At 37.5% G+C, this 26,867-nt stretch overlaps 1 long non-coding RNA gene and 1 pseudogene across 6 annotated transcripts in view; one reads left to right on the forward strand and one right to left on the reverse strand.

Moving 5' to 3' along the window:
- Positions 1-7,129, reverse strand: part of LOC105372004 (uncharacterized) — an 87,301-nt gene extending 80,172 nt beyond the window's left edge. For 4 of the 5 annotated variants that reach the window (XR_935172.2, XR_935175.2, XR_935174.2 and 1 more), the window contains exon 1: positions 6,965-7,120. This is a non-coding gene — a long non-coding RNA (uncharacterized LOC105372004). Of the gene's footprint in view, positions 1-6,964 lie in introns of all 5 variants that reach the window. The other variant, XR_935173.3, reaches the window with a different exon arrangement.
- A 207-nt stretch (positions 7,130-7,336) lies between these two features.
- The window catches only part of GTF2IP8 (general transcription factor IIi pseudogene 8), a 63,889-nt pseudogene continuing 44,358 nt past the window's right edge, over positions 7,337-26,867 (forward strand). Inside the window, exons 1-2 of the transcript XR_007066431.1 lie at positions 7,337-7,444; positions 8,372-8,533. The product of XR_007066431.1 is annotated as a general transcription factor IIi pseudogene 8, transcript variant X1 (transcript). The remainder of the gene's footprint in view (positions 7,445-8,371; positions 8,534-26,867) is intronic.

The following is a 26,867-nucleotide window of genomic DNA, read 5'->3' on the forward strand; positions in this document are numbered from 1 at the left end:
AACATTTCCTTAGAGTTAAGCCGGCCAGGCAAGGTGGCTCATGCCTGTAATCCCACCACTTTGGGAGGTCGAGGCGGGCGGATTGCTTGAGGTCAGGAGTTTGAGACCAACCTTGCCAACACAGAGAAACCCTGTCTCTACTAAAAATAGAAAAATTATCTGGACCTAGTTGTGTGTGCCTGTAATACCAGCTACTAGGGAGACTGAGGCAGGAGAATCACTTGAACCAGGGAGTGGGAAGTTGCAGTGAGCCAAGATCACGCCACTGCACTCCAGCCTGGTGACAGAGCCAGACTCCGTCTCAAAAAAAAAAATAAAAAAATAAAGATGGGGGGAAAATAGAGTTAGGATAACAGAAAGTTAAGGAATATGAAACAGAAAAAAATCAATAAACCAAAATGAAATGTTTGGAAAGATAAAAAAATTGGCAAATGTTTACTTAGGCTAAGCAAGAAAAAAAGAGATGAAACTCAAATTATTAAAATCGGCAATAAAAGAGAACACATCACTGGCAGTATTACAAAATAAATATGATTAAAAGAGAATGCAATGAAAAATCTTATGCCGAAAAAGTAAGATAGCCTAGACAGAATGAAGTCCTAGAATGACAGAAACTAAAACAGTCTAAAGGAGAAATTAAAAATATAAGTAGATCTATGGAAGGTTAAAACATTGGATTGTAATTTTAAAACCTTACAATAAAAATCTCATCTCAGCTAGCTTCCCAGGTGAATCAAACACTCTGAGAAATTAATATCAATTGTTCACCAACCCTTGCAGAAAATAAAAGGGCAGAGAACACTTCCCAATTCATTTTACAAACAGGATTACTCTGACACCAAAACTGAATAACAAAACAATATAGACCAGTGTCTTTAATTGTTTTATAAAATCAAAAATCTTCAACAAAATACTGCCAAGCTGAACCCACCAACATATAAAATAGATTATGCACTGTGTGCAGATGTGATTGATCCCAGGAATGCCCCATTGATTTAATATTTGAAAAATCAATGAATGCAAACACCATATTAACAGAATAAAAGACCAAAATATATGAGCATCTCAATAGACAGAAAGCATTCGAGAAAATATTACACATTTTCATCATGAAAACACTCCAGTTATGGACAGTAAGATAACTTCCTGAAACTAGTGGTAGTTACCTATGAAACCCACAGCTATCATTACACTCTGCAATGAAAGGGTGAATCCTTTCCTGGCATGGTTACTTACAAGAATGTCCACTCTTGCAAATTCTACTCAACGTTATACTGTGGATTCTAGCGAGGTGTATTTAGTAAAGAATAGAAAATTGAAAACATCCTGAATGAAAAAAAAATAAAATTATTTATATTTACAGATGGCATGATCTCATATATATGTAATTCTAAGAAATTCAGTAAAACTGTATTCAAAATAATAAATTTGGCATGGTTTCCAGATATAAATGTAATACTAAAAATTAATTTTATTTCTATATACTGTCAATGAACTGCCTTAAGATGATATAAAAGAAACAATCCCATTTATAATAGCAACAAAACAAGTAATAAATTTAGAAATTAACAAGAGCAGTTCAAAACTAATACTCTGAAACCTCCAAAACATTGTTGAAATAAACTGAAGAAGAACTAAATAAATGAGAAGAGGTGGAGCGAGATGGAGGATAGAATCTCAGTGACTGTGTCTCTGCAGGAATATTAAATTGAACCACCGTCCAACAATCCAAGCAAGATAATACCTTCACAAGAGCTAAAGAAAGCAGGTGACAGATCACAGAACCTGGTTTTAGCTTAAAAACAAGAGAACACACATTAACGAGGGTGAAAAGACAGTCTTGCAGTGACTGCACTGCCCTTCCCTCAACCCCAGGCAGTGCAGTGCAGAGAATGTGTCCACCTCTTGCAGGAGGGACAAGGAAGGGTCCGTGGGACTTTGCCTTGGAGCCCAGTGCCAGCTCTGCTATAGTAAAGGACAACACTGGGCAGAACCCCATGGCCTTTCGTTCCAGGCTAGTGCCCATAGATACAGCATTTAGACACGACCTGGTCTAAAAGGGAATCCACTACCCTGGTGGGACAAACCTGAGTCCTGACTTGCTTCACCACCAGCTGATTCAAGTGGCCTCAGGCCCCAAATAAATTTCAGTGGCAGGCAGGCCAGAGTCACTTTGGTCCTTGGGTGAGCTCCAACAACCAACAATGTGCTGGTCTGGGAGGCTGTGGGCTTCCTATGTGACATCAGCTGCAGTGGCCAGAGGGCTGCCTGTGTTACCCCAATCCCAACTCCAGGCAGTGCAGTGCAGAGAGAATTCCTTCCCTATGCGAGAAAGAGGAGAACCCAGTATCAGCCCTACTACAGTGGACACAGTGTCAGGCAGAATACTGTGGCCCTGATCCTAGGCAGGAGCTCCCAGACACCTACAGACCCCCCTGCAGGGAGAAGGGATTCTGCCACCCTGGCGGGATGGACCCAAACCCAGGCCAGCTTCATCACCAGCAGACTAACCTGGCTTAGAAACCTAAATAAGTCAGCAGCAGTCAGGCAATATAGTGGCCACAGGACTCAGATAAACCCCAGTGCTGCTCTGGTCTGGGAGGCTGTGGGCTTCAGGTGTGTTGCGCCAGCTGCAGTGGCCATGAGAGTGCCTAAATCACATGAGAGTGCCCAGATTCACAAAGCTTGGTGCCCAGATTCCTTGCAAGGGGAAGAAGATGGACGTGAAAGAAGAACTTTGTCTGGGAACCCAGGGAACCCCTCCCTTATCTTCTCCAAGTGTGTCACGGCCACCAGGGACCTCAGTCTGCAAAAGTCATGGTGAACCTGAGCTTAAGGTGCCCTCTGGTGCTGTAACAGCTGCAGTGACCACAGGCTTGGGGAACTCAACAGTCTTGAATTTCTTGGAATTTCTGGACGACTGAAGAAGGACAAGCACACACAAGAACAGACTGCAAAAAGTGGAATAAATACACACTTATTCAACTCCCCGGCATGAACATATGCTCAAAAACGTTAAGAACATTCAAGGAAATAAATAACAACAATAAATAAGTCACCAGTGACCAGAGCTACAGATGTGAGACTCGACTGGGTGTGGTGGCTCACACCTGTAATCCCAGAACTTTGGGAGGCTGAGGTGGGTGGATTACCTGAGGTCAGGAGTTCGAAACCAGCCTGACCAACAAGGTGAAACCCTGTCTTTACTAAAAATACAAAAATTAGCTGGGTGTGGTGGCAGGTGCCTGTAGTCCCAGTTATTTGGGAGGCTGAGACAGGATAATTTCTTGAACGTGGGAGGCAGAGGTTGCAGTGAGCCAAGATTGTGCCTCTGTACTCCAGGCTGGGTGATGGAATAAGACTCCATCTCACAAAAAAAAAAAAAAAAAAAAAAAAAAAAAAAAAAAAGATGTGAGACTCTCCAGACAGGGAAGTAAAAATGGCTGTTTTGAGGATACTCAATGAAATTCAAATACAGAGAAGTAATTCAGAAACTTATCAAAGAAATTTAACAAAGAGATAGAAGTAATTTAAGAAGATGACAGAAACCTCAAAGCTGAAAAATGCAACTGATGAACTGAAAAATGCATGAGAGGGCCTCAACAGTAGAACTAATCTCAGCACAATAAAGTTCATATATGAGAAATCCACAGCTAACATCATAATCAATGGGGAAAAGTTAAAAGCTCTTCTTCTAAGATCTGGAACAAGTGTGGCTACTTTTACCACTTTCATTCATCACAGTACTACAAGTCCTAGCTAGAGGAATTAGATATGAGAATGCAATAAAAGGCATCCAAAATGGAAATAAAGGGAGTCAAATTGTCTCTGTTTGCAGGTGACATAATCATACACATATGCAGAACCCTAAAGATTCCACAAAAAAACCTACTAGAAATAATAAACACATTTCATAAAGTTGCAAGATACAATATCAATATATAAAAATGAGTAGCACACCCATGTACCAATAGTGAAACACCTAAGAAAGAAATCAAGAAAGCTATTTTATTGCAGTAGTTACCCAATGCCCCCCAAAAAAGATACCTAGAGATAAGCTTAACAAAAAGGCGAAAGATCCCACAATTAAAATTATAAAACATAGACGAAAGATATTAAAGCAGACACAAGTAAATGTAAAGATATCCCATGTCCAAGCACTAGAAGAATATCGTTAAAATATCTGTATCACCCTATGTGATCTACAGAATCAATGGAATCCATGTTAAATTAGGAAAGAGATTCTTCATAGATATAGGAAAAAAAAAAAGCGGCCAGGCATGGTGGCTCACGCTTGTAATCCCAGCACTTTCGGAGGCCAAAGCGCCTGGATCACGTGGTCAGGAATTTGAGACCAGCCTGAACAACATGGTGTAACCCCGTCTCTACTACACACACAAAAATTAGCCAGGCGTGGTGGCGCACTCCTGTAATCCCAGCTACTCAGGAGGCTGAGGCAGGAGAATTGCCTGAACTCAGGAAGCAGTGCCTTCAGTGAGCCTAGATCGCGCCAATGCACTCCAGCCTGGGCGACAGAACAAGACTCCGTCTCAAAAAAAAAAAAAAATCCTAAAATTCACATGGAAATGCAAAATACCTCAGATAGACAAAAGAATCTTGAATAAAAAGAAAAAAGCTGGCGGCATCACACTACCTGATTTCAAAATATACCACAAACCTAGTAACCAAAACAGCATGGTAGTGGCAAAAGAAAAAAAATAGGTAGGGGATAGACAGAGCGAGAGAGAGACAGAGATACACAGACCAATGACTGACAGACATAGACAAATGAAACAGAATAGAGAACTCAAAAATAAATTCAAGCTTTTACAGTCAACTCTTTTAACAAAGGCACCAAAAACACACATTCGGGAAGGACAATCTCTTCAATAAACTGTGCTAGGAAAACCCAACACCCACAATACATGTAGGCTGTTATCTTATCATCTACTGAAAATAAAGATTTAAATGTAGGACATGAAACTATGAAACTACTAGAGAAGAAAACATAGGAAAATGCCTCGTGAAATTGGTTACAACGGATTTTCAAATACACATCAAAAACACAAGCAACAAAAAGCAAAAATAGACAAAATGCAGTTGCATTAAACTTAAACGCTTCTGCAAAGTAGCGAAAGCAATCAATAGAATGAAGAAACAATCCAGAGAACCGAAGAAAGTATTTGCAAACTATGCATCAGGCAAGGGGTTAATACAACAAAAAATATATAAAAAACTAAAACTACTCAAAGCAAAAATACAAATAATTTGATTTAAAACTCAGAAAAAGTTCTACCCAAAAACTTTGTCCCCAACCTTCTTTTCTCAACCACCTTTGGCCCCCTCCCTCTCGCCACCCTTTTTCTTCATCTACCCCAAAACATTTCTCCCACTATTTTTCCCCACTGTCATTTCGCAAAGCCTTCTCTACTCTCCTGCTCACCACCCTTTTCGCCAACCATCTACCCGAAAACTTTTCCCCCCTCACTGGATACCCTCTTTTTCTCCCTTCTGCTCTCATTCCCCTTTTGTTCCTCCATCTACCCAAAAACTTTTCCCTCATATTTTCCCAAAGCCTTCTCCCCATTCCTGCTGCTCGCCACCCGCTTTTCCAACCTCCATCTCCCCAAAAACGCCCTCTTCTTTCCACTATCCTTACCATCCTCCTTTTGCCCTCCATCTACCCCAAAACTATTTTCCCCATCGTCTTTTTCCCAACTCTTTCCCTCCTCCCTCTCGCCACCCTCTTTTATCCTCCCAATTGCCACCCTCTTTTCCCGCTGCATCTACCCACATTTTACCCACCGTCTATCTTTTCTTTCCCCATCATCTGTCTTTTCTACCCATCTTTTTCACAAAACCTCGTCTCCCTCCCACTCGCCATCCTCTTTTTCGTTCTCCCGCTTGCCACCCTCTCTTCCCCTCTCCCGCTTGCCGCCCTCTCTTCCCCTCTCCCGCTTGCCACCCTCTCTTCCCCTCTCCCGCTTGCCACCCTCTTTTCCCCTCTCCCGCTTGCCACCCTCTTTTCCCCCTCCATGTACCGAAAAACTTTTCTCTCCCCACTGTCTTTTCCTTACGGTCTTTTGGCAAAACCTTGTCTCCCTCTACTTGCCACCCTCTTTTGTCCCTCCTGCTCACCACGCTCTTTACCCCCTCCATCTACCCAAAAACTTTCTTCCTCACTGTCTTTCCCCCCTCACCATCTCTTCGCAAAGCCTTCTGCTCACCACCCTCTTTTCCCCATTCCTGCCCCTCCTCTTACATGCCACCTTCCTGTCGCCCTCCATTTACCCCAAAACTATTTTTCCATCGTCGTTTTCCCAATCGTCCTTCCACTCTCCCGCTTGCCACCCTTTCTCTCCTCCATCTACCCAAAAACTTCTCCCACAGTTTTTTCTCCCCACTGTCTTTTCTTCCCACCGTCTTTTTGCAAAACCTTCTCCTTCCTCCTACTCGGCACCCTTTTTTCTTCTCCTGCTCACCACCCTTTTTTTCTCCATCTACTGAAAAAAAATATTTCCCCACCATCTTGTCCCCATCGACTTTTCACAAAATCTTCTCTCCCTTCTGCTCACCACCTTCTCTCTCTTCCCCCCACTCTCTGCACCCTCTTTCTTCCTCCCGCGTGCCACCCTTTTCCACCTCCATCTACCCAAAATCTTTTTACACATCTTTTCTTTCCCCAATGTCTTTCTGTTGTCTTCACCGTGTTTCTCCCCACCGTCTTTTTGTAAACCTTCTCTCCTTCCTACTTGTCCCCGTTTTCCCCCCCTCACCACCCTCTCTTTCCTCCTTCTACATGCCACCCTTTTTTACCCGCCTGCTACCCAAAAACTTTTTTTAACCATCTTTTCCCCACCATCTTTTTGCAATGCCTTCTCCTGTTTGCCATCCTCTTTTCCCCTTGCCGCTAACCACCCTCTTTATCCCTCCATCTACCCAAAAACTATTTACCCCCTCCTACCAGTCCAGCCGAGCTGCCGTCTCTGTCGCCAGCACCCACCACAGCGAGGCGAGCCGTGGTGCCACACGCTCCAGCCTCCAGCTGTGGCAAGTGACTACCCCTTCTCCTGGTCCTCCAAGCCTGGCACGGAGCAGCTGCGCAAGCAGCCACACACGAGTCTGGAATGGCCTGACGCCCTTTCTGCATCCTTTATATGTGAGGTTATGCAAATGAGGTTCCTGGACTACATATTCTGATTGGATGAGAGAAAACTTCTAGGCCTATTCTGATTGGACTTTATTTTCATGCTGTGATTGGTTGTCCTAAGACTTGCTCTCATACAATCAGAATCGAAGCTGGGAGCTCAGCTTAGAGAACAGGAAGTGGGAGCCACGTACCCCGAGCTGGAGGCTTGAGCCTGTGGCATCTAGGCTCGCCTCACTGCGGTTGGTGGAGGTGACGGAGGTTGCAGCTTGGCCAGCATGGTAGAAAGGTGGCAGGGTAGGTGAGCTATCCAGGGATGCACTACCCTGGATAGGAGCACTATCAAGGTCACATTGCCGGTAAGGGTATCAGGGGCATGGGTTGGCAGAGTTGGTGGGGGCTATACTGCCTGGTGGTGAGGGTGGTTGTGTGTGCTACAGGGGGCTGACCGCCAGCTGGGGGGAGGGTTAGGGGTGCTATCAGCTCCTGCACTGTCATGACAGGGGGGGCAGGTTGGGGGCACTATCTGGGCTGTCACTACCCCCAGCAAGGGCTGGTTGGGGGCACTATCCCTGGCTGCACTGCTGGAGGCAGTGGGGCAGTTTGGGGGCACTATCAGGTTTACATGCCCTGTGGCATGCCAGTGGGGGGGCACTATTGGGGTTTGCACTGCACTGCTGCTTCTGGCAATGGGCTACGGAGGTGGCAGCGATAGCTGTGGCCTCCAAGGAAGGGGCCGTCCTCCTCTTCCCAGACTCTAGATTCTAGAGGGCAACCTCTGTTTGCTCGTGCTGGAGCGTGGCAGGTGCACAATGTTTCCTTGGGAATCCTGAGCACGGTAAGGCCCCCACACCCGCCATGGTTCCCGGGCCTGCACCCTCTCACTGTGTTGCAGAGACAATCTGGGACTCCTGGGCACGGAGTAGCGGGCATCACGGGGGAACAGGGCCCTGTGGGTGGAGGCATCAGAAACAGGAACTGGCACTTGGTTGGAGAGAGCTGGCTGGGTCTGAGTTTCTGCTTCTCCTGCTCACCAAGGAGTGCAGCCAGGGTGGGCCCAGCAGTTCCTGGCCAGCTGGACCTAGCCAGAGGCCAGTTTCAGCAAAGGCAGTCACACCCACCCCAGGTCCCAGTTGTGCCTTTGCCGAAACCAGCCCCTGCCACCCAGTGACCAGCATGACAAGGTGAGCCTCTAACACTACCACTCCTTCCATCCTGTTCTAGGCACATCTGGCTTTTACCACCCAGATGCTTCGAGCCAGGAGCTGGAGGAGTCATCTGTTGCACGCTGGAGGCTGGAGCCTGCAGATGGCATGGTTCTGTGGCTCCCCTCGCTGCAGTTGGTGGCAGAGACAGAGACTGCAGCTTGACCGGAGTGGTGGAGTGGTAGGAGAGTGTCTGCAGGGGCCAGGTGGTAGGAGGCTTGTAGGGTGGGCCCATGCATTGAGGGCAACAGCAGCAGTGGTCATGTTGGTGTTGGTGTTAGTGGTGGCAGCAGCAGCAAGTCTGGGATCCGAGAAGTGGGAGTGGGAATGCTGTGGAGCCCACCGGGCCCAGCCTGGCCTGAAGTGGGGAGGCAGCTGCAGGTGCTGTACCACGGGCCGAGGTGGCAGCAGTGGAGGCCCAGCCAAGGCAAGGAGGAGTCCTCCTCCTTCTCTTGCAGAATCTGGAGGTGCCCTCCTCCTGCTGGTGCCTGGGCCAGGTGTGAGTGGCAACATTGTCTTATTCTTAACAAAATTTAGGGGGTGACTATTGGTGTATCTTTTAGCTTGGTTTTGTTGTGAAAAGTCTTGAAATTTTTTCAAAGTTCATAAATCAGGAGGGGAAATAAGGTATCATAATAGGCTTTCTAATTCCCACACCTGTTCTTCTTCCTTTCTTTCAGTCTGTTTTTTCTTCTTCTAATCATCATCTTCTTGTTCCTCTTCATTTTCTTATGCTGCTGCTTCTATTTCTTTTTTATATTCTTGTTTCTCCTCCTCTTGTTTTCATTATCCTAAGCAATGGCCTTAACAAACAACAAACCAAAACTGAGTTAAACATAAACTATTTGTCACCGAGTTGTATTCTTAAAATAATCAGTCCATTACTATGCTTTAGAGATGAGGAAAAACATTGATTGCATAATTATTTGGTTACTTGAATAGCTATGCTTTTCATGATCCTGTTAATGTGTTGTAAGTAGTTATTCAAGGAATCAAAAATGAAGCATCAAATAAAATATTGCTAGCAAACAGCCATTTCATCTCTCTCACATAGTCTGGAGCTATGCAAGAGTCAGGGGGGTAATTAGTTCCAATTTATGAGATCATTAAGTGAACTGTATTCCTTTCATTTTATTTCTCTGCCACCATTTTCAAGAGTATTGTCATCTGCATGAGCAAATCTGGTTCATCACATCTTTGCAACAGGAAAAGGAAGGGAGGATCATGTGTATAATGTTTTAAGGCCAAGATTCACAACCAAAACAAAGTCTTTATTAACTTTTGCCTTCAAGAACCTGCAGTGTTGAGCCCTTTTTTATTTCTGTTATTATTACCTTTGGTATGAAATCTTTTTTTTAGTGAGTACTCTAGAAGTTTATGCATTTTATTGACTACTTTAAAGAAACAATCTATATTGCATCATTTTTCAAGCCCACAGAAATGCGTAAGGTCTATAATTTTGACGCTTTTTATTTTTAAGGTTATGAGCATGTAAAATACTGTTGATATGTGTAAGGATATGTAAAAATGCCACTAGATAGCTTATATTGAAGAGATAGTGTCTAAATTTTGGTCCAGAATGGATTGGTTGCTGTTTCTTAGGTGTGTTTCTCAATATATTGCCTCAATGTTTTAAAGCATATAGAAATATTAATACTATTTAACCTCATATAGTCCTTCGTAGGTTGTTTAATATTTCTACAGACTAAAGATATCACAGCCTCCGTTAATATTCAGTAATATTAATAAAATTTGGGATATATAGCGTTAGAATCCAAGAAATCCAGAGGAAAATTGTTAAATTATATAGCTGTAGAGCAGGAAATGAAACCCAGGTTCCAAGCTCTAAGGGGCCCACGAGCTACCATACAAGTGAATCAGTGACGGACATAGAGTTAGCAGAATTACAGGATGGTTAAAAGAGAGAGCTGTGCAGTCTAACACTATGTGAACATAAAATTTTAAACTGCATGGTGCCTCAGTTTATCTGTCTTTACAATGAAAGTAGTACTAAGTTTTTCTTTTCCTTCTTAGTTGTCTGAATTACTTTCCTAGTCTGTCTTGTTGCCACTCTCGATGCCCACATGAGAGGACCTGAGATAATTTCTGACAGCCTGAGAATCCATGGGAAAAACAGAAGGTGCCACAGACCCCCTTTTAGGAGAAACCTCTCTTTTCCTCATGGAATCCCAAGAACTGTAGGCAGACAGGTCCCTCTCAAAATCTAAGGCTCTATTGTTTTGCCTTGCATTACCTGATCTTGTTTGATTTGGGTGGGCATAAGAAATTAGTAGGGAGGAGAGATACAAAGAAAATTGTGGATATGAAGATGAGTTTATGGTTAGAAATGTTATGAAGAAATGTTACATGAGAGAGGAGCTGGTATGGCAAATTCTTGTCCTAAAGTAGAATGACTAATTAGGAAATAGGGAAAGATAGGACAAGTCATAAAGTTCAAGCATGTCAAAGAGAGTCTCCCTCTGTCATCCAGGTTGGAGTGCGGTGGCATGATCTTGACTCACTGCAACCTCCACCTCCCGGGTTCAAGCCATTCTCTTCCCTCAGCCTCCTCAGTAGCTGGATTACAGGTACCTCCCACTACACCCAGGTAATTTTTTGTGTTTTTAGTAGAGAGAGTTCACCATGTTGGCCAGGCTCGTTTCAAACTCCTGACCTCGAGTGATCCAAACAGCCTCGGCCTCCCAAAGTACTAGGGTGCCAGGTGTGAGCCACCATGCCTAGCCTTATCTATGATTTTATTTTGGCTTTCTTTCTCTTTCCCTTAGTCTAGTTAAAGCTTGTCAATTTTGATTTTTTTTTCAAACCCCCCCAGCTCTTTGTTCCATTGGCTCTTTGTATTTTTTTGCATTTTATATTTTTTGTTTCTATTTGTAAAATTTCTGTTCTAATCTTTCTGATATTCTTTCTACTAATTTTAACATTTGATATTTTTGTTTTTCTCATTACTTGAGGTGTACTGTTAGGTTGGCTATTTGAGATCTTTTTACTTTTCTGATGTAGGCATTTATAGCTGTGCACTTTTCCTCTTACAACTGCTTTTGCTGCATCCCACAGGTTTTGTTATGTTGTGTTTCTATTTTTATTTATTTCAATAAATTTTTAATTTTTTTATTTCTTTATTCATTGTTCATGAACATGTATTTTAATTTCCATATGTTTGTACAGTTTTTAAAGTTCCTCCTGTTACTGATTTCTCATACTATTCCACTGTGATCAGAAAAGATGCTTGATATGAATTCAATGTTTAAAAATGGGCTGTGACTTGTTATTTGGCCTAACACATAGTCTGTCCTGGAGAATAATCCATGTGCTACTCAGTAGAATGTGCATTGTGCAGTTGCAGAGTGGAAAGCTGTGTAAATGTTAGGTCCATTCAGTAGAGATTACAGTTTAACTGATGATTTTTTGTCGTTTGGGTGATCTGTTCATTGATGATAGTGGGGTGTTGATTATAGTTGAGTGTTGAGGTACTCTATTATTGTATTGCAGTCCATCTGTCCTTTAAGGTCTGTTAATATTTGCTTCTGTGTTTAGGTGCTTCAGTGTTGGTTGCATTTGCACTTATAATTGTGATACTGCTGTATTGATTTCTTTCTCATTATATAATTATCTTTGTATTTTATCTAATATAAGTATAGCTACTCTTGCTTTTTTGTTTCCATTTGTATGGGATATCTTTTACCATCCCTTCATTTTCAGTCTATATGTCTTTATAGGTGAACTGAGTTAGTTTCTTGTAGGCAGTATATAGTTGGATCTTGTCTTTAAATCCATTCAGCCACTCTGTCTTAATGGAGAATTTAATTCATTTATATTCAAGGTTATTACTAACAAGTAAAAACATACTACTGCCACTTTTACTTGTTTTCTGGTCGTTTTGCTACTCTCTTTTTTCTTTTGTTATTTCTCTCCTCATTTCTTCCTCTTTCTGTTCTCTCTCTCCTTCCTTCTTTCTTCCTTTCCTTTCCTCCCTCCTTCCCTTTCTTCCTGTCTGTATTTATAGTGAGGTAATTTTCTCTGGGAGTGTGATTTAATTGTTTGCTTTTTAGGTGTCTATTATTTTTAGGGTGTCTGTTACTGAATTTTGTTTTCTAGTTACCATGAGGCTAAAGAATATCATTGTAACCAGTGGTTTTAAACTGAGGAAAACTTAACTTTGATTGCAAAGAACAAAAAGGAGAGAAACAAAAAGCTATAAACATTTATTACCTGTATCCCCCCCAACACACACACACATTTTGACATTTGGATCTCTTCAATATCTTTTTATATTGACTCCCAATTTAAAAATTGTTGGGTTATTATTATTTTAATAATTTTGTATTTTAGCCTTTTGTTATTGTTAATTGCTGTTTGCACCATTGTTCAATAATGTCTTAATTTGTTCTAATAAATACATATATATATATATATATATATATATATATATATATATATATATATACACACACACACACACACACACAAATTTCTTAATGGCATGGGCATTTTCTTCACCATTGTTTTTCCAGCCTCTAGTTCCTATGGCCTAGCGAATAGAACGCTTACACTAAATGCTTGTCAGATGAGTAAAAGAGCTCTTTACAGTGAGCAGATCTTAACACGTTGCTATATGTAATTTGATTTGAAATAATTTTCCAATAATTTAACTCATTTTGTTCTGTTTTAAACTTCTATTTTTTGACTGGGGTACATGTGTAAGATACACAGGTTTGTTACATAAGTAAACGTGCATTATGGGGGCTGATTGTACAGATTATTGCATCACGCAGGTATTAAGCCTAGTATCTGTTAGTTATGTTTCCAGCTTCTCTCCCTCCCCCAACCCTCCACTCTCTGATAGGCCCCAGTGTGTGTTGTTCCTCTCTATGTGTCCATGTTCTCATCATTTAGCTTCCACTTAAAAGTGAGAACATGCAGTATTTGGTTTTCTGTTCCTGCTTTAGTTTGCTTAGAATAATGACCTCCAACTGCATCCATGTCCCTGCAAAGGACATTATCTCATTTTTTTTTGTGGCTGCATGGTATTCCATGGTGTATATGTACCACATTTTCTTTATCCAGTCTGTCATTGATGGGCATTTGGATTAATTCCATGTATTTGCTATTGTGAATAGTGCTGCAAGGAACATATGCATGCATGTCTTTTTGCAATGGAACAATTTATAATCCTTTAGGCATATACACATTAATGGGATTGCTGTGTCGAATGGTAATTCTGTCCTTAGGTCTTTGAGGAATTACCACACTGTCTTCCACAATGGTTGAACTAATTTACACTCCCACCAACCATGTAAAGTGTTCCCTTTTCCCCACAATCTCACCAGCATCTGCTTTTTAACTTTTTAGTAATGGTCCTTCTTACTGGCATGAGTTGGTATCTTATTGTGGTTTTGATTTGCATTTCTCTAATGATCAGCGATGTTGAACTTTTTTAATATGCTTGTTGACCACATGTATGTCATCTTTTGAGAAGTGTCTGTTCACGTCCTTTGCCTGCTTTTTAATGGCCTTGTTTTTTTCTTGTAAATTTGATTAAGTTCCTTGTAGATGCTGGATGTTAGACTTTTGTCAGATGCATATTTTGCCAAAATTTTATCCCATTCTGTAGGTGTCTGTTAGTTCTCATGTTCGTTTATTTTTTTCTTTTTGCTGTGCAGAAGCTCTTTAATTTGATTAGATCCCATTTGTCAAGTGAAAGAGAAACATTTTATAATGATAAAATAATTGATTCATTTAAAAGACAAAACAATTTGAAATGCATATGCTCTTAATAATATAACTTCAAATTATATAAAGTAAAATTTTACATAGCTAAAAATGAACAGCCAAATTCCTAATCTAAAGATTTCAAGTGGGGTTTATACCAGGTATGCAGGGAAGGGTTAACATATACAAGTCATAAATGTGATACATCACGTAAACATAATTAAAAACAAAAATTATACGATCATCTCAATAGACACAGAAAAAGCATTTGGCAAAATTCAGAATCCCTTTATGGTTAAAATCTTCAGCAAAATTGGCATAGAAGGGGCATATGATACAAGCCATCTATAACAAACCCACAGCCAACATCAGACTGAACAGGGAAAAGTTGAAAAGCATTCCCCCTGAGAATATGATGCCCACTCACCACATCTATTAACCATAGTTCTGGAAGTCCTAGCCAGAGCAATCAGATGAAAGAAAGAAAGGGCATCCAAGTCAGTAAAGAGGAGGTCAAACCGTCACTGATTTCCAATGATATAATTGTGTATCTAGATAACTCTAAAGACTCATCTAAAGAGCTCCTAGATCTGATAAATTCACTTAAGTTTCAGGACACAAAACATCAATATACACAAATCATTAGCACTGCTATACACCAACAACAATCAAGCTGAGAAATCAAGAACTTAATCCCTTTTACAACAACTGCAATATACATATATATGTATATAAACACACACATAAATATATGTATATACATATGGATATGCATATAATATACATATTATATACATATGGATATGCATATAATATACATATTATATACATATGGATATGCATATAATATACATATATGGATATGTATATGCATATAATATACATATTATATGGATATGTATATGTATTATAGCATACATATATGGATATGTATATGTAGTATAACATACATATACACGTGTATATGTATTATAACATACATATATACATATGTATATGTAATATAACATACATATTATATACATATGTATATGTATATAATATACATATTATATACATGTGTATATGTATTATACATATTATATACATGTGTATATGTATTATACATATATACATATGTATATGTATTATAATATACATGTTATATACATATGTGTATATGTATTATATACATGTTATATACATATGTATATGTATTATAATATACATATGTATATGTATTATGATATACATATGTATATGTATTATGATATACATATGTATATGCATTATGATATACATATGTATATGCATTATGATATACATATGTATATGCATTATGATATACATATGTATATGCATTATGATATACATATATACATATGTATATGCATTATGATATACATATATACATATGTATATGCATTATGATATACATATATACATATGTATATGCATTATGATATACATATATACATATGTATATGTATTATGATATACATATATACATATGTATATGTATTATGATATACATATATACATATGTATATGTATTATGATATACATATGTATATGTATTATGATATACATATGTATATGCATTATGATATACATATGTATATGCATTATGATATACATATATACATATGTATATGCATTATGATATACATATATACATATGTATATGTATTATGATATACATATATACATATGTATATGTATTATGATATACATATTTAATACTTATACATATGTATATAATATGTATATAATATACATATTATATACATATGTATATGTGTTATACATCTGTATGTATGTATATGTATTATACATATATACATATTATATACATATGTATCTCTTAGGAGCATCCAAAGCCAAGGAGGTGAAAGATCTCTTCAAGGAAAATGGCAAAACACTGCTGAAAGATATCATTGACCACAGAAACAAATAGATAACACATCTCATGCTAATGGATGGGTAGAATCAGTATTGTGAAAATGACCATACTCTCCAAAGCAATATACAGATTCAATGCAATTCTCATCAAAATACCATCATCATTCTTCACAAAACTAGAAAAAACAATCCTAAAATTCATATAGAACCAAAACAAGAGCCTGCCTAGCCAAAGCAAGACCAAACAAAAATAATAAATTTGGATGTATCACATTACCCAACTTCAAACTATATTACAAGGCTATCCTTACTGAAACAACATGGTACTGGTATAAAAATAGGTACATAGACCAATGAAACAGAATAGAGAACCCAGAAATGAAACCAAACACTTAGCAGCCAACTGATCTTCATCAAAGCAAATAAAAACATAAAGTTTGGAAAAGACACCCTATTCAACAAATGGGAATGGAATATTTGGAAAGCCACATGAAGAAGAATGAAACTGAATTCTCATCTCTCATCTTATACAAAAATCAACTCAAGATGGATCAAAGACTTTAATATCATAAACCATAAAAATTCTACAAGATAAGATTGGAAAAAACATTAAAAACATCGGCTTGGTTCTTCATGACCAAGAAACCAAAATCAAACACAACAAAAACAAAGATAAATAGATTGAACATAATTAGACTAAAAAGCTTCTGCACAGCAAAAGGAAATAATCAGCAAACAGACAACACATAGAGTAGGAGAAAAACTTTGCAATCTATACATCCAACAAAAACTCATATCCAGAATCCACAAGGAACTCAAACAAATCAGCAAGACAAAAAAAAAAAGTCCATCAAAAAGTGGGCTAAGGACATGAATAGAAAATTCTTAAAGAAGATATACAAATAGCCAACAAATATATGAAAAAAATGCTCAGCATCACTAATTATCAGGGAAATGCAAAGTAAAAACACACTGAGATATCACCTTATTCTTGCAAGAATGGCCATACTTTCAAAATATAATAGATACTGACATGGATGTGGTGAAAAGGGAACACTTTTGCATTAATGGTGGGAATGTAAACTAGTATAACCACTGTGGAAAACAGTATGGAGATTGCTTAGAGAACTAAAAGTAGAACCTCCATTTGATTCAGCAATCCCATTACTGGGTATCTACCTAGAGGAAAATATTTCATTATATGAAGAAGACATGCACATGCATGTTTATAGCAGCACAGTTTGCAATTGTAAAAATATGGAACCAGTCTAAATACCCATCAACCAATGAATAGATAAAATGTGGCATGGAATACTACCCAGCCATAAAAAGAAATAAAATAATAGGCCGGGCACGGTAGCTTATGCCTGTAATCCCAGCACTTTGGGAGACCGAAGCAGGCAGATCATCTAAGGTCAGGAGTTCAAGACCAGCCCGGTCAACATGGTGAAACCCCATCTCTACTAAATATACAAAAATTAGCTGGGTGTGGTGGAAGACACGTGTAAGACCAGCTACTTGGGAGGCTGAGGCAGGAGAATTGCTTGAACCTGGGAGGCAGAGGTTGCAGTGAGCCAAGATTGTGCCATTGTGCTCCAGCCTGGGCAACAAGAGTGAAACTTTGGCTCCAAAAAAGAAAAGAAAAGAAAAGAAAAGAAAAAAACGTGAAATAATGGCGTTTGCAGCAACCTGAATGGACTTGGAGGTTATTATTCTAAGTGAAGTAACGCGGGAGTGGAAAATCAAACATTGCATGTTCTTAGTTATAAATGGGAGCTAAGCTTTGAGGACACAAAATCCTAAGAATGATATAATGGACTTTGGGGACTTGAAAGGAAGTGTGGTAGGAGGGTGAAGGAGACCACACATTCTGTACAGTGTACACTGCTTGGGTGATGGGTGCATCAAAATCTCAGAAACAATTGCTAAATAACTTATAATGTAACCAAAAACCACCTCTTCCCCTAAAAACTATTAAAATAAAGACAATTTAACACCTTTCCATCACCACTTGATCAAATGAATATCAGTATGAAAAAAGAAAAGTTAAAAAATAAAACAGAAATAAATATTTGACATTTATAACCAATTAACTATATATATATATATTTTTCCATTGGTAAATATTACCAAACATTTAACAAGATAGAATATATGATGAGTTATACGTTGTCTCAATATATTTGAACTTTTTGTGTCATAGAAAGTACATTCTCTGATCACAAGCATATTAAGTTAAAAATAAGTAAAAATCAGATACTTAGAAAAACACAAGCTATCTGGGAAATAAACCATAAACCTCTGTACATTCTGTAACTAATGTTTTAAAAATTCCTTATATTGGGGTGTGTGTGTGTTTTGTTATTAGACTTACCATATGTCAAATAAATATATCAGTCTTTCGCAGAACAAATTTTTCCTTGTATTTTTCTCTGTCCTTAATTTCTACTTTTATATTTGCTGTTGCCGTTCTTCCTCCTTTAGTTTTAATGTAATCTGTTTTTGTAGCTTATCGTGGATGTTTAGAAAATTGATTTTGCATTATCTTTTTTAGGATCAATACACAAGACTATAAATATTTTTAATACTGCTATGTTTGCATCCCACAAATTGTGATATATAGTAGTATCATTATTTTTCAGTATGAAAGGTTTTCCAACTTCCCTGTGAATTTTTTCTTTGATTCAAGTACAACTAAGAGAATGCCTTGAAGGAACATAATGTCTGCATCTTTTCAGGAAAAAGACAATGATAAACAATTATAGTACAATGTTACAGTTGGGGACTTTTGATACATGGTAATTATTGGTATTATTAAGTCAACTTTTCTGTAAGTCGGCAATTATGCCAAAATGAAAATTTTAAATTAAGTAAGGCTTTTACTCTATTAAAAAACACTTACATCAGGAACTCAAGGATAATACAGCTTTAAAAAACTTATGTAAACATGTCATATTAAAAGATTAAGGAAGGAGGATTATACAGTTATCTCTACAGTTTTAGAAAAATACACCAAAAAATAAATATTTACTCCAAATTTTAATAATAATTCTTAGAAACCGTAAGATTGAAAGTTCTTGTTTGGATAGAGCACATGTATGAGAAATATATTGTATATTATGTTTAAAGCAAAACATTAGAAAGATATCTTTTATTTTGGAAACTAGGATGCCTGTTATAATTAATTTTAAATGCAAAAATTGAGATGATTTTCAATAAAATAAGAGGAATAAAACTGGAAAATACATGAAAGAGTGAATATCAAGCAGAATCTAGATTCTTATGTATTGCAGAAGTCATAATGATATGGTTAAGATAAAAATAACTAGGCCAGGCATGGTGGCTCAAACCTGTAATCCCAGCACTTTGGGAGGCCGAGGCTGGTGGGTCATGAGGTCATGAGTTCAAGACTAGCCTGGCCAAGATGGTGAAACCTCGTCTTTACTAAAAAAACAAAAATTAGCCAGGCATGATGGTGGGTGCTTGTAATCCCAGCTACTCTGGATGCTGAGGCAGAGAACTGCTTGGACCTGGGAGGCAGAGGTTGCAGTGAGCTGAGACTGCGCCACTGCACTCTAGCCGGGGCGACAGAGCCAGGCTCTGCCTCAAAAAAAAAAAAAAAAAAAAAAAAAAAAGAACTAATAAGATTGTATAGAACATGGTTAATTGTAAGGTCAGCATAAAACAAATAACATCTTTCTTATACATTATCAAAAGAAAAATGAAAATTATATAAGAAATTCATTTTACAGAGGAAATTTATGTCTACATGCAAATTGCCTAGGAATAAATTAACAATAAATACATTGGAATATGGAATATAATCTATTAAAATTTACTGAACTATGTAAAAGAAAAAAATTAGAGAATTGCTTTTAATGCGTGGCATAAGTCAATATTTAAAGACCTCAATTTTTTCCAGTCTCTCTCTCTTTTTTTTTTTTTTTTTTTTTTTTTTTTGAGACAGGGTCTCGCTGTTATCGCCAGGCTAGCCTGCAGTGGCACCATCTCAGCTCACTGCAACCTCCGCCTCCCGGGTTCAAGCGATTCTCCTGCCTCATCCTCCTGAGTAGCTAAGACTACAGGCACGTGCCACCACACCCAGCTAATTTTTGTATTTTTAGTAGAGACAGTGTTCCACCATTTGGCCAGGATTGTTTCAAACTTCTGACCTCAAGTGACCCACCTGCCTCAGCCTCCCAAATTGCTGGGATCATAGGCATGAGCCTCCATGCCTGGCCTTTACTATTAATTCACAGTAATATCAGTCTGTTCCATCTAGGATACTTTTTGAAACTTAATAATTTCTTTCTAAAGTTTATATGGAAGACTAGATGGGTGGAAGTGGGAATTACAAAGAAACATTTAAAAAGAGTAAAATGTTTTACCAATTTAAGGATCCCTGCCTATACTTATAAAAATACGATATTTATCTAAACATGATAATTATGTTAATTCAAACCAGACAATAATGATGGAATAGCAAAATTAAATAATGAAAGAGGAAGACTAAATATATGTACTATAGCTCAGATTTTGTTAAATTTGGATTTTCTTCTTCTTTTTTTTTTTTTTTTTTTTTGAGACAGAGTCTTGCTCTGTCACCCAGGCTAGGGTGCAGTGGCGCGATCTCGGCTCACTGCAAGCTCCACCCCCCGGGTTCACGCCATTCTCTTGCCTCAGCCTCCTGAGCAGCTGGGACTACAGGTGCCCGCCACATGCCTGGCTAATTTTTTGTATTTTTAGTAGAGATGGGGTTTCACGGTGTTAGCCAGGTAACTCCTGACCTCATGATCCACCCATCTCGGCCTCCCAAAGTGCTGGGATTACAGGTGTGAGCCACTGCGCCCGGCCAAATTTGGTCTTTCAAAGCAATGTTATTATTCAATATTATTTATACCACACAGATGTAAATGCTGTATTATGCTGAAATATTTAAGCATTTGTTTTTGTGCCCCCAGTCAAATGATCACAGATCACATACATCTATGATATGTATATAATAGTGAAAATCCTACATCCCTGAGATAATTACTTGTTGATTTGATTTCTGCTATTTTCTGTTACTAGATATACTGCATTTATGTTTTTAAATAGAATTCATCTTGTGTGTGTAGTGCATACACATGTGAGGTGTGCACACACACATGCACACATATGCCCTCATATGTGTGCATAAGCATACTCAGGTACACTTATTTTTGAGTTTATACTAGCTTTGTATGAGTAATTTCTAGTTTTTTTGTGTTTTTGTTTTGAATCAATTTATATACTAAGGAAATTATGCATTCTTTCTTTTCCTTTCTGAACTATGAATTCTGGGCCCAGGGACTTTATTAGAGGAATTCTTTGATGAAGTTCTTTGATAACCTTCTCATTAATTATTTGTATGACAAATATTTTAGTATTGATTTCTTCTAGAGTCAGTTTTGAATATTTCAGACCACACATTTTAAAAAATGATTTGAGATTGGCACTTCATTTTTGGTTTATATTATGTCATTAATTATAATTCCTGTTTTTTCTCCTGAGTTTTCCATATTCTGTTTATATCATTGTACTTTTTGAGTAGCTAAATATATTTTTAAAAATATTCTCATGCCATAGAAGAAAGAGCCTAAACACCTTTTGTGTGATCCATATCACTAGTTAGAATAAAGATCAAATAAACAATTTTAAATGCTATTAAGTTTTGATCAAATATTATTTCTCCACACCAGAATACCAAGTGAATGATGTGAAGTGTAAACCAACCATTGTTGTGTTTCATGTTACTGTCATACACTTGTTTCCTTCAGCATAATGTTAGCAAAAATTGTGTGTGCAGTCATCAGATAAATTTTCTGGGCATGATTTCCTTCCAGATGTAATTTTATGATCATCCATTTTCCAATTTCCTATGAAATTCACTCATTTAGTAAGAATTTAGTGAATATCTTCTGTGCACACTGCTTTGTACTGAAATTGGTGATTTAAAAAGAAGTTAAAATGTGTTCTTTATTAATACTTTTTGGGAACATTCATTGTACGTGTGCATCAAAGACATGCACATAGGAAGAATCTGCAACAATTTAATTTACATACAATATGAACTATAAAAATGTGTGATACAGAAACTGTGTCTAAAATAACAAACTAGCCCTGCAGGAAATAAATTAGAAAGACAATGAGAATCTGTACTTGAACTGGACATTGAATAATAAGTAAATTTTAAGAGCCAACAGGAATAGAAAGACAATTGGAAAATTAGGTATATGAAAATAATATTTTTTGAAAACCTCTTTTCTGTTTTTATTCCGTTAAAATTTTAGTATGTTGGCGCAAGATAAATCTAAGAGATTACCATAGAATAGTAAATATGTGCTATAGACCTTAATGGTTGTCTAATTGCAGAAGTTTATTATATGGTTTAAGTCTGTATTGATTCAGAAAAAAATGCATTATTTTTATATTTACTTTCCCTGCTGAGTCATTTGGCCTTCTTTTTAGAAATGTATATGGGTTATTCACATTATATCAACCACATGTATAGACAATTGAAGAAAGCTGTAAACAAAAAGAAATTGCTCTGATCCTCACATAATTTATATTCTAGGAACAAAAGATACAATTTAATAAACAAGTCAGATAATATGCACTTTATGACAGGAGACATTATCCATGTCAAAGGTTCATAAACAGTCCCCTGGATATGACCACGGCATGCCGATGTATGTATTGTGGAAATATCATAATGTTGTAACCGAGCGAGTTGTAGTTAACTGCCACACTATGAGACGAATTCAGGAGTCCTTTATTAGCCGGCAACCGAGAGACCCTTAGTGCTCAAAATTCTCTTGGCCCCGGAGAAGGGGCTAGATTTTCTTTTATACTTTGGTTTAGAAAGGGGAGAGGGAGCTTAGCTGAAGCAATCAGCTGAGTAAAAAAGGCAAAAAAGTTAAAAGGACAAATGGTTACGGGAAAACAAACAGTTCCAGGTGCAGGGGCTTTAAATCCATCACAAGGTGATAGACCTGGGGGCTTTGGGTGCTATCAACGGGACACAAACCCCGGGGGCTTTGGGTCCTATCAACCGGGCGAATTCCTGGGAACTGCGGATATAGCTTGCCACAGTGTCTTATCAGTTAATCGTGTTCTTTGATGTGCTGGGAGTCAGCCTGCACAAGTTAAGTCCTTGAGAAAGCGGGGTGGGTAAGAGGCTGCAAGGGGCTGCAAGTGAAGGAGCCAAACTGGAGTTTGTGTGGCTCTCTCAGCTAAGGGAGAGTCAATTCAGGTTAAAACAAGGCAGGATATCACAATAAGACCTTCCGTGTGAAAAAGAATTGAAAGGAATCCTAGACTCGAGCAAATATGTAAAAAGTTTTTATAGAATGTTAAGCAGGAAATGATTGTGATTTGAAATAACAGGTTATAGGTGGGAATGGAAAGAGTAAATAGACCAAGGAAACATTTGAGAGAAACATACTTTCTGATGTTGTATTTATGCTGCAAGGGAACAGAGAAAAGGTATAAATGATTATTTTTCAAATTTTTGGCTTAAAAATGTGTTAATCCAGTGCCTGATACAGGGGGTATTAGTTAAGACTAACTGCTTTGGTTGCCAGGTAAAGAAACTCTACTTTGTCAGGAAAAGGCGGGAGTCAATAAACTATGATCCACAGCTAAATTGGTCTTGCCATCTGTTTTTGTAAATCAAGTTTAACTGCAACACAGCCATATCCATCACTGGAGCTTAATAGTTGCACCCAAACCTTATGTTCCATAAAACCTAAAATATTTGCAATCTAGCCCTTTACAGAAGATGCTTACTGACCTTGGGCTAAAACAGAAAATTAAAATTCGTCAGTGTTCAACGTGTTTTCAGGTGTTCAGACAGTGTTATCCGGACTCTGCCTCTGCATCTTTCAGTTCTGCCTCAACATCAGCTCCTGCTTCAGTAGGCTCAGAAGGTGCTTCATGAGACAGCAACATTACCCTATCCATTTAGAATCCAGAGGGAGTAAACTTTGTCCAAAAATTTTAGCTAAGTTCATGGAAGTCACTGTCTCTACTGAGGTCTGGATTTCATGGCATCTATGGAGTTATAGGTGGAATAAAGTCATTTGGACTGATTTCTCCAAAGGAAAATCATGGTACTATTATTACCCACACCTGATGTCCAGCATATTGGGAACATAGGAGAAGCATAAGGTCTTGAAAGAGAAAAAAATACTTAATTTTAGTCATAATGAGTTAAAAAGATACAGTAATTAAAAAAATGAATACTCATGCAGAACATATGAGCTAGATAAAGTTTTGGTCTTTGGAGAATTTTATCTATATTGACTCTATTGTCTCTCACAATGCTGCTGTGAAATACATATCTCCATTTTTCAGATGAGAAAATTTAGGGAAACTGATATTCAGAAATAATAGCAACCAGCTAATACTGTTTATTTACTATTTGCTAAATAATTTCCTAAATAAATTTTTAAAGTAATTATCTTTCCTGGCAATGAATAATTATCGAGAAGTCACTGTTACAAGCATCAAATGCCTAGCTATGTACAAAAAGACAAAGTTTCTGCTGTCTGGGAAATCATGCTACTATGACATAATAGTAAGCAGGTAGAAAAAGTTGGCTTTCAATACTTAAATACCATCAGCAAAGTGTGACGGGAGGCCTTCATTTTAAATGAATGCTGTATGTTTAGCCCAACTCCCTCTAAACATAACTGATATATGAATTGATATCATACTAGATATTTCTGTTTTTGAGTCTCAGCATAATTTCGAGTGGAGAAAAAATATACATACATCTTTATCTGCGGTGAGATGCTCCCTCTATGTAGAGAAAATTGAAATAGAATTGTGTTGTTTCAGAAAAGCAAGATTAAATTTCTTTTGTTTAATAAATGTAAATTATTTACTTATTGAAAGTAGGTAAGGGAAAGATCGTGATCACAGTTAATGATTATTGAGTCCTTGAAAAACACCAAATAGTCTTCACTTAAAGCATCTTTAGATTGACTGGCATTATTATAAACCTATTTTACCAGCATAGAAATTCTTGTGGTCAGCGGGCTGTTAATGCACCATATGCCGTATAGTCAGGATTTGAACCCAGTGAGATACAGCTAGAGTAGCATGCTTCTACTCACCACACCATGATGCCTCCATAGAACCCCGTGGTTTTCATTGGTGCTTCTTGTTCTCTTGTCTCAACTGTGAAAACATCTGAGACTTTGCAGTTGACTCAGAGAAGTAGAAAGGAAATTGCAGGCCCTTTCCTGATAATATCAGGGATAGGAAAGTGACTGCAAACATTGAACACAATTTTAAGAGTAAGAAATGCTTGGACTCACTATTTCCTGAATCGCATAGTGCAGAATATGAATTCAGGCAGTGGCTGACTTTGTCCTCCAGCTGTATAAACAAGGCAGTAGACTCCAGGAGGGAATCTGAGATAAGTTTTTTAATTTGTTTTAGTTATTAGTTTTGTAACCTGTGACACCTGGAGGTGCAGTTTCTGTGGTCCTCTTTAACGCTAAACGGATTATGGAGCAAGTTGATAATAGTCCATCACCTAGAAAACAGTTACGAAGAACAGGCCTCAAAAAACAACTTCATTAACGTCTATGTTTTTGGAAAAGAAATTCTCCCTTATGCTTTTCACAGTTACAGAAATCTCAGGCACAAGAAAGCCTTTTCCTAAGTATTAGCATATGCATTTTTTTAAAACAATGAGAATGTTTTAAATGTTACAAAGAAAATATAAGGAGACATAATAGTTACATTTCAATAATACACTTATGTACAAAGTAGTAAAAATCGTATGTTGTAATAGATGGGAATCGTATGTTGTAATAGATGGGAAATAGTAATTTGGTTCAAAATATTTGGAGCATGTTCATTAATCTAGATTAATACATTGTCTAATTTAGATAGAAATAACATTTTTATTTTATAATTATATAAGAACATAGCTATTTTTCAAATTTATACATTATTTCCTTAGAATCTGAAACTAAAATTTGGTTTTAACTGTATTGTCACCTTAGTTTTTCTTTTCGGAGATATGTAGTTTAGGTCAGCTTAGTAATATCCAGAATTTACACGTGTAAAATTTAGCAGGATTTTAAGATATACCGATATTGTCAAGAAAGTATTAAATAAATCATAAATTAATGAAAATTAATGATAAAATAATACTAACAATAATCATGGAAAACATTGATCTTACTATCCTTGAAATACCAAAGAATTGGCACAATGATGGGATTTTTTTAGATTAAATGATCTAAATAATTGCTTCCGTCTTCTATTATACTTTCCCAAACTAGATTCTTAGGACTTTATGATATGTGGTAGTTAAGAGTATACAGAATGGAAGAAATAACTTCCAGTAAGTTGTTTGCTTAACATACTTATCACAGTTCTCACTTATAAGCTAATTTAAGCAATCTTTTTTAGGTATGCATGTTCTAAGCTAAATCTAACATGGTTTTATTTTCTGATCTCAAAGAAGATAAATCTTAATTCTACTGAAGATATTGTTATCAATATCACTGTCTCATAAACTTGCTAATATTTAGATATTGTGATACATACATGCATACATACTTGATAAAATATAGGAGTAGACATACCTAGAAACAGATCTACCTTTTTTAATGAGGCTTTAGCTCATGGCAACTTGTGCACAAAGAAAGCATGACTGTAGCATCCATAGTAATAATATACAGGAGTAATCCTACTTCATTGAAGTACATTTATGAAAGGATAGCATTGTACCACAAGAAAAGTCATAAATTATAATGATACTGGTGAATGGATTTGTTGGAGAAAATAAGTAAAATGGTATTCAATTTGTGAGAATCATTTAACACTCAAAATTTTATTTTTCTCACTAACTTCTACGAAAC

Source organism: Homo sapiens, chromosome 18 (assembly GCF_000001405.40).
Source record: "Homo sapiens chromosome 18, GRCh38.p14 Primary Assembly".
Lineage (NCBI taxonomy): Eukaryota > Metazoa > Chordata > Mammalia > Primates > Hominidae > Homo > Homo sapiens.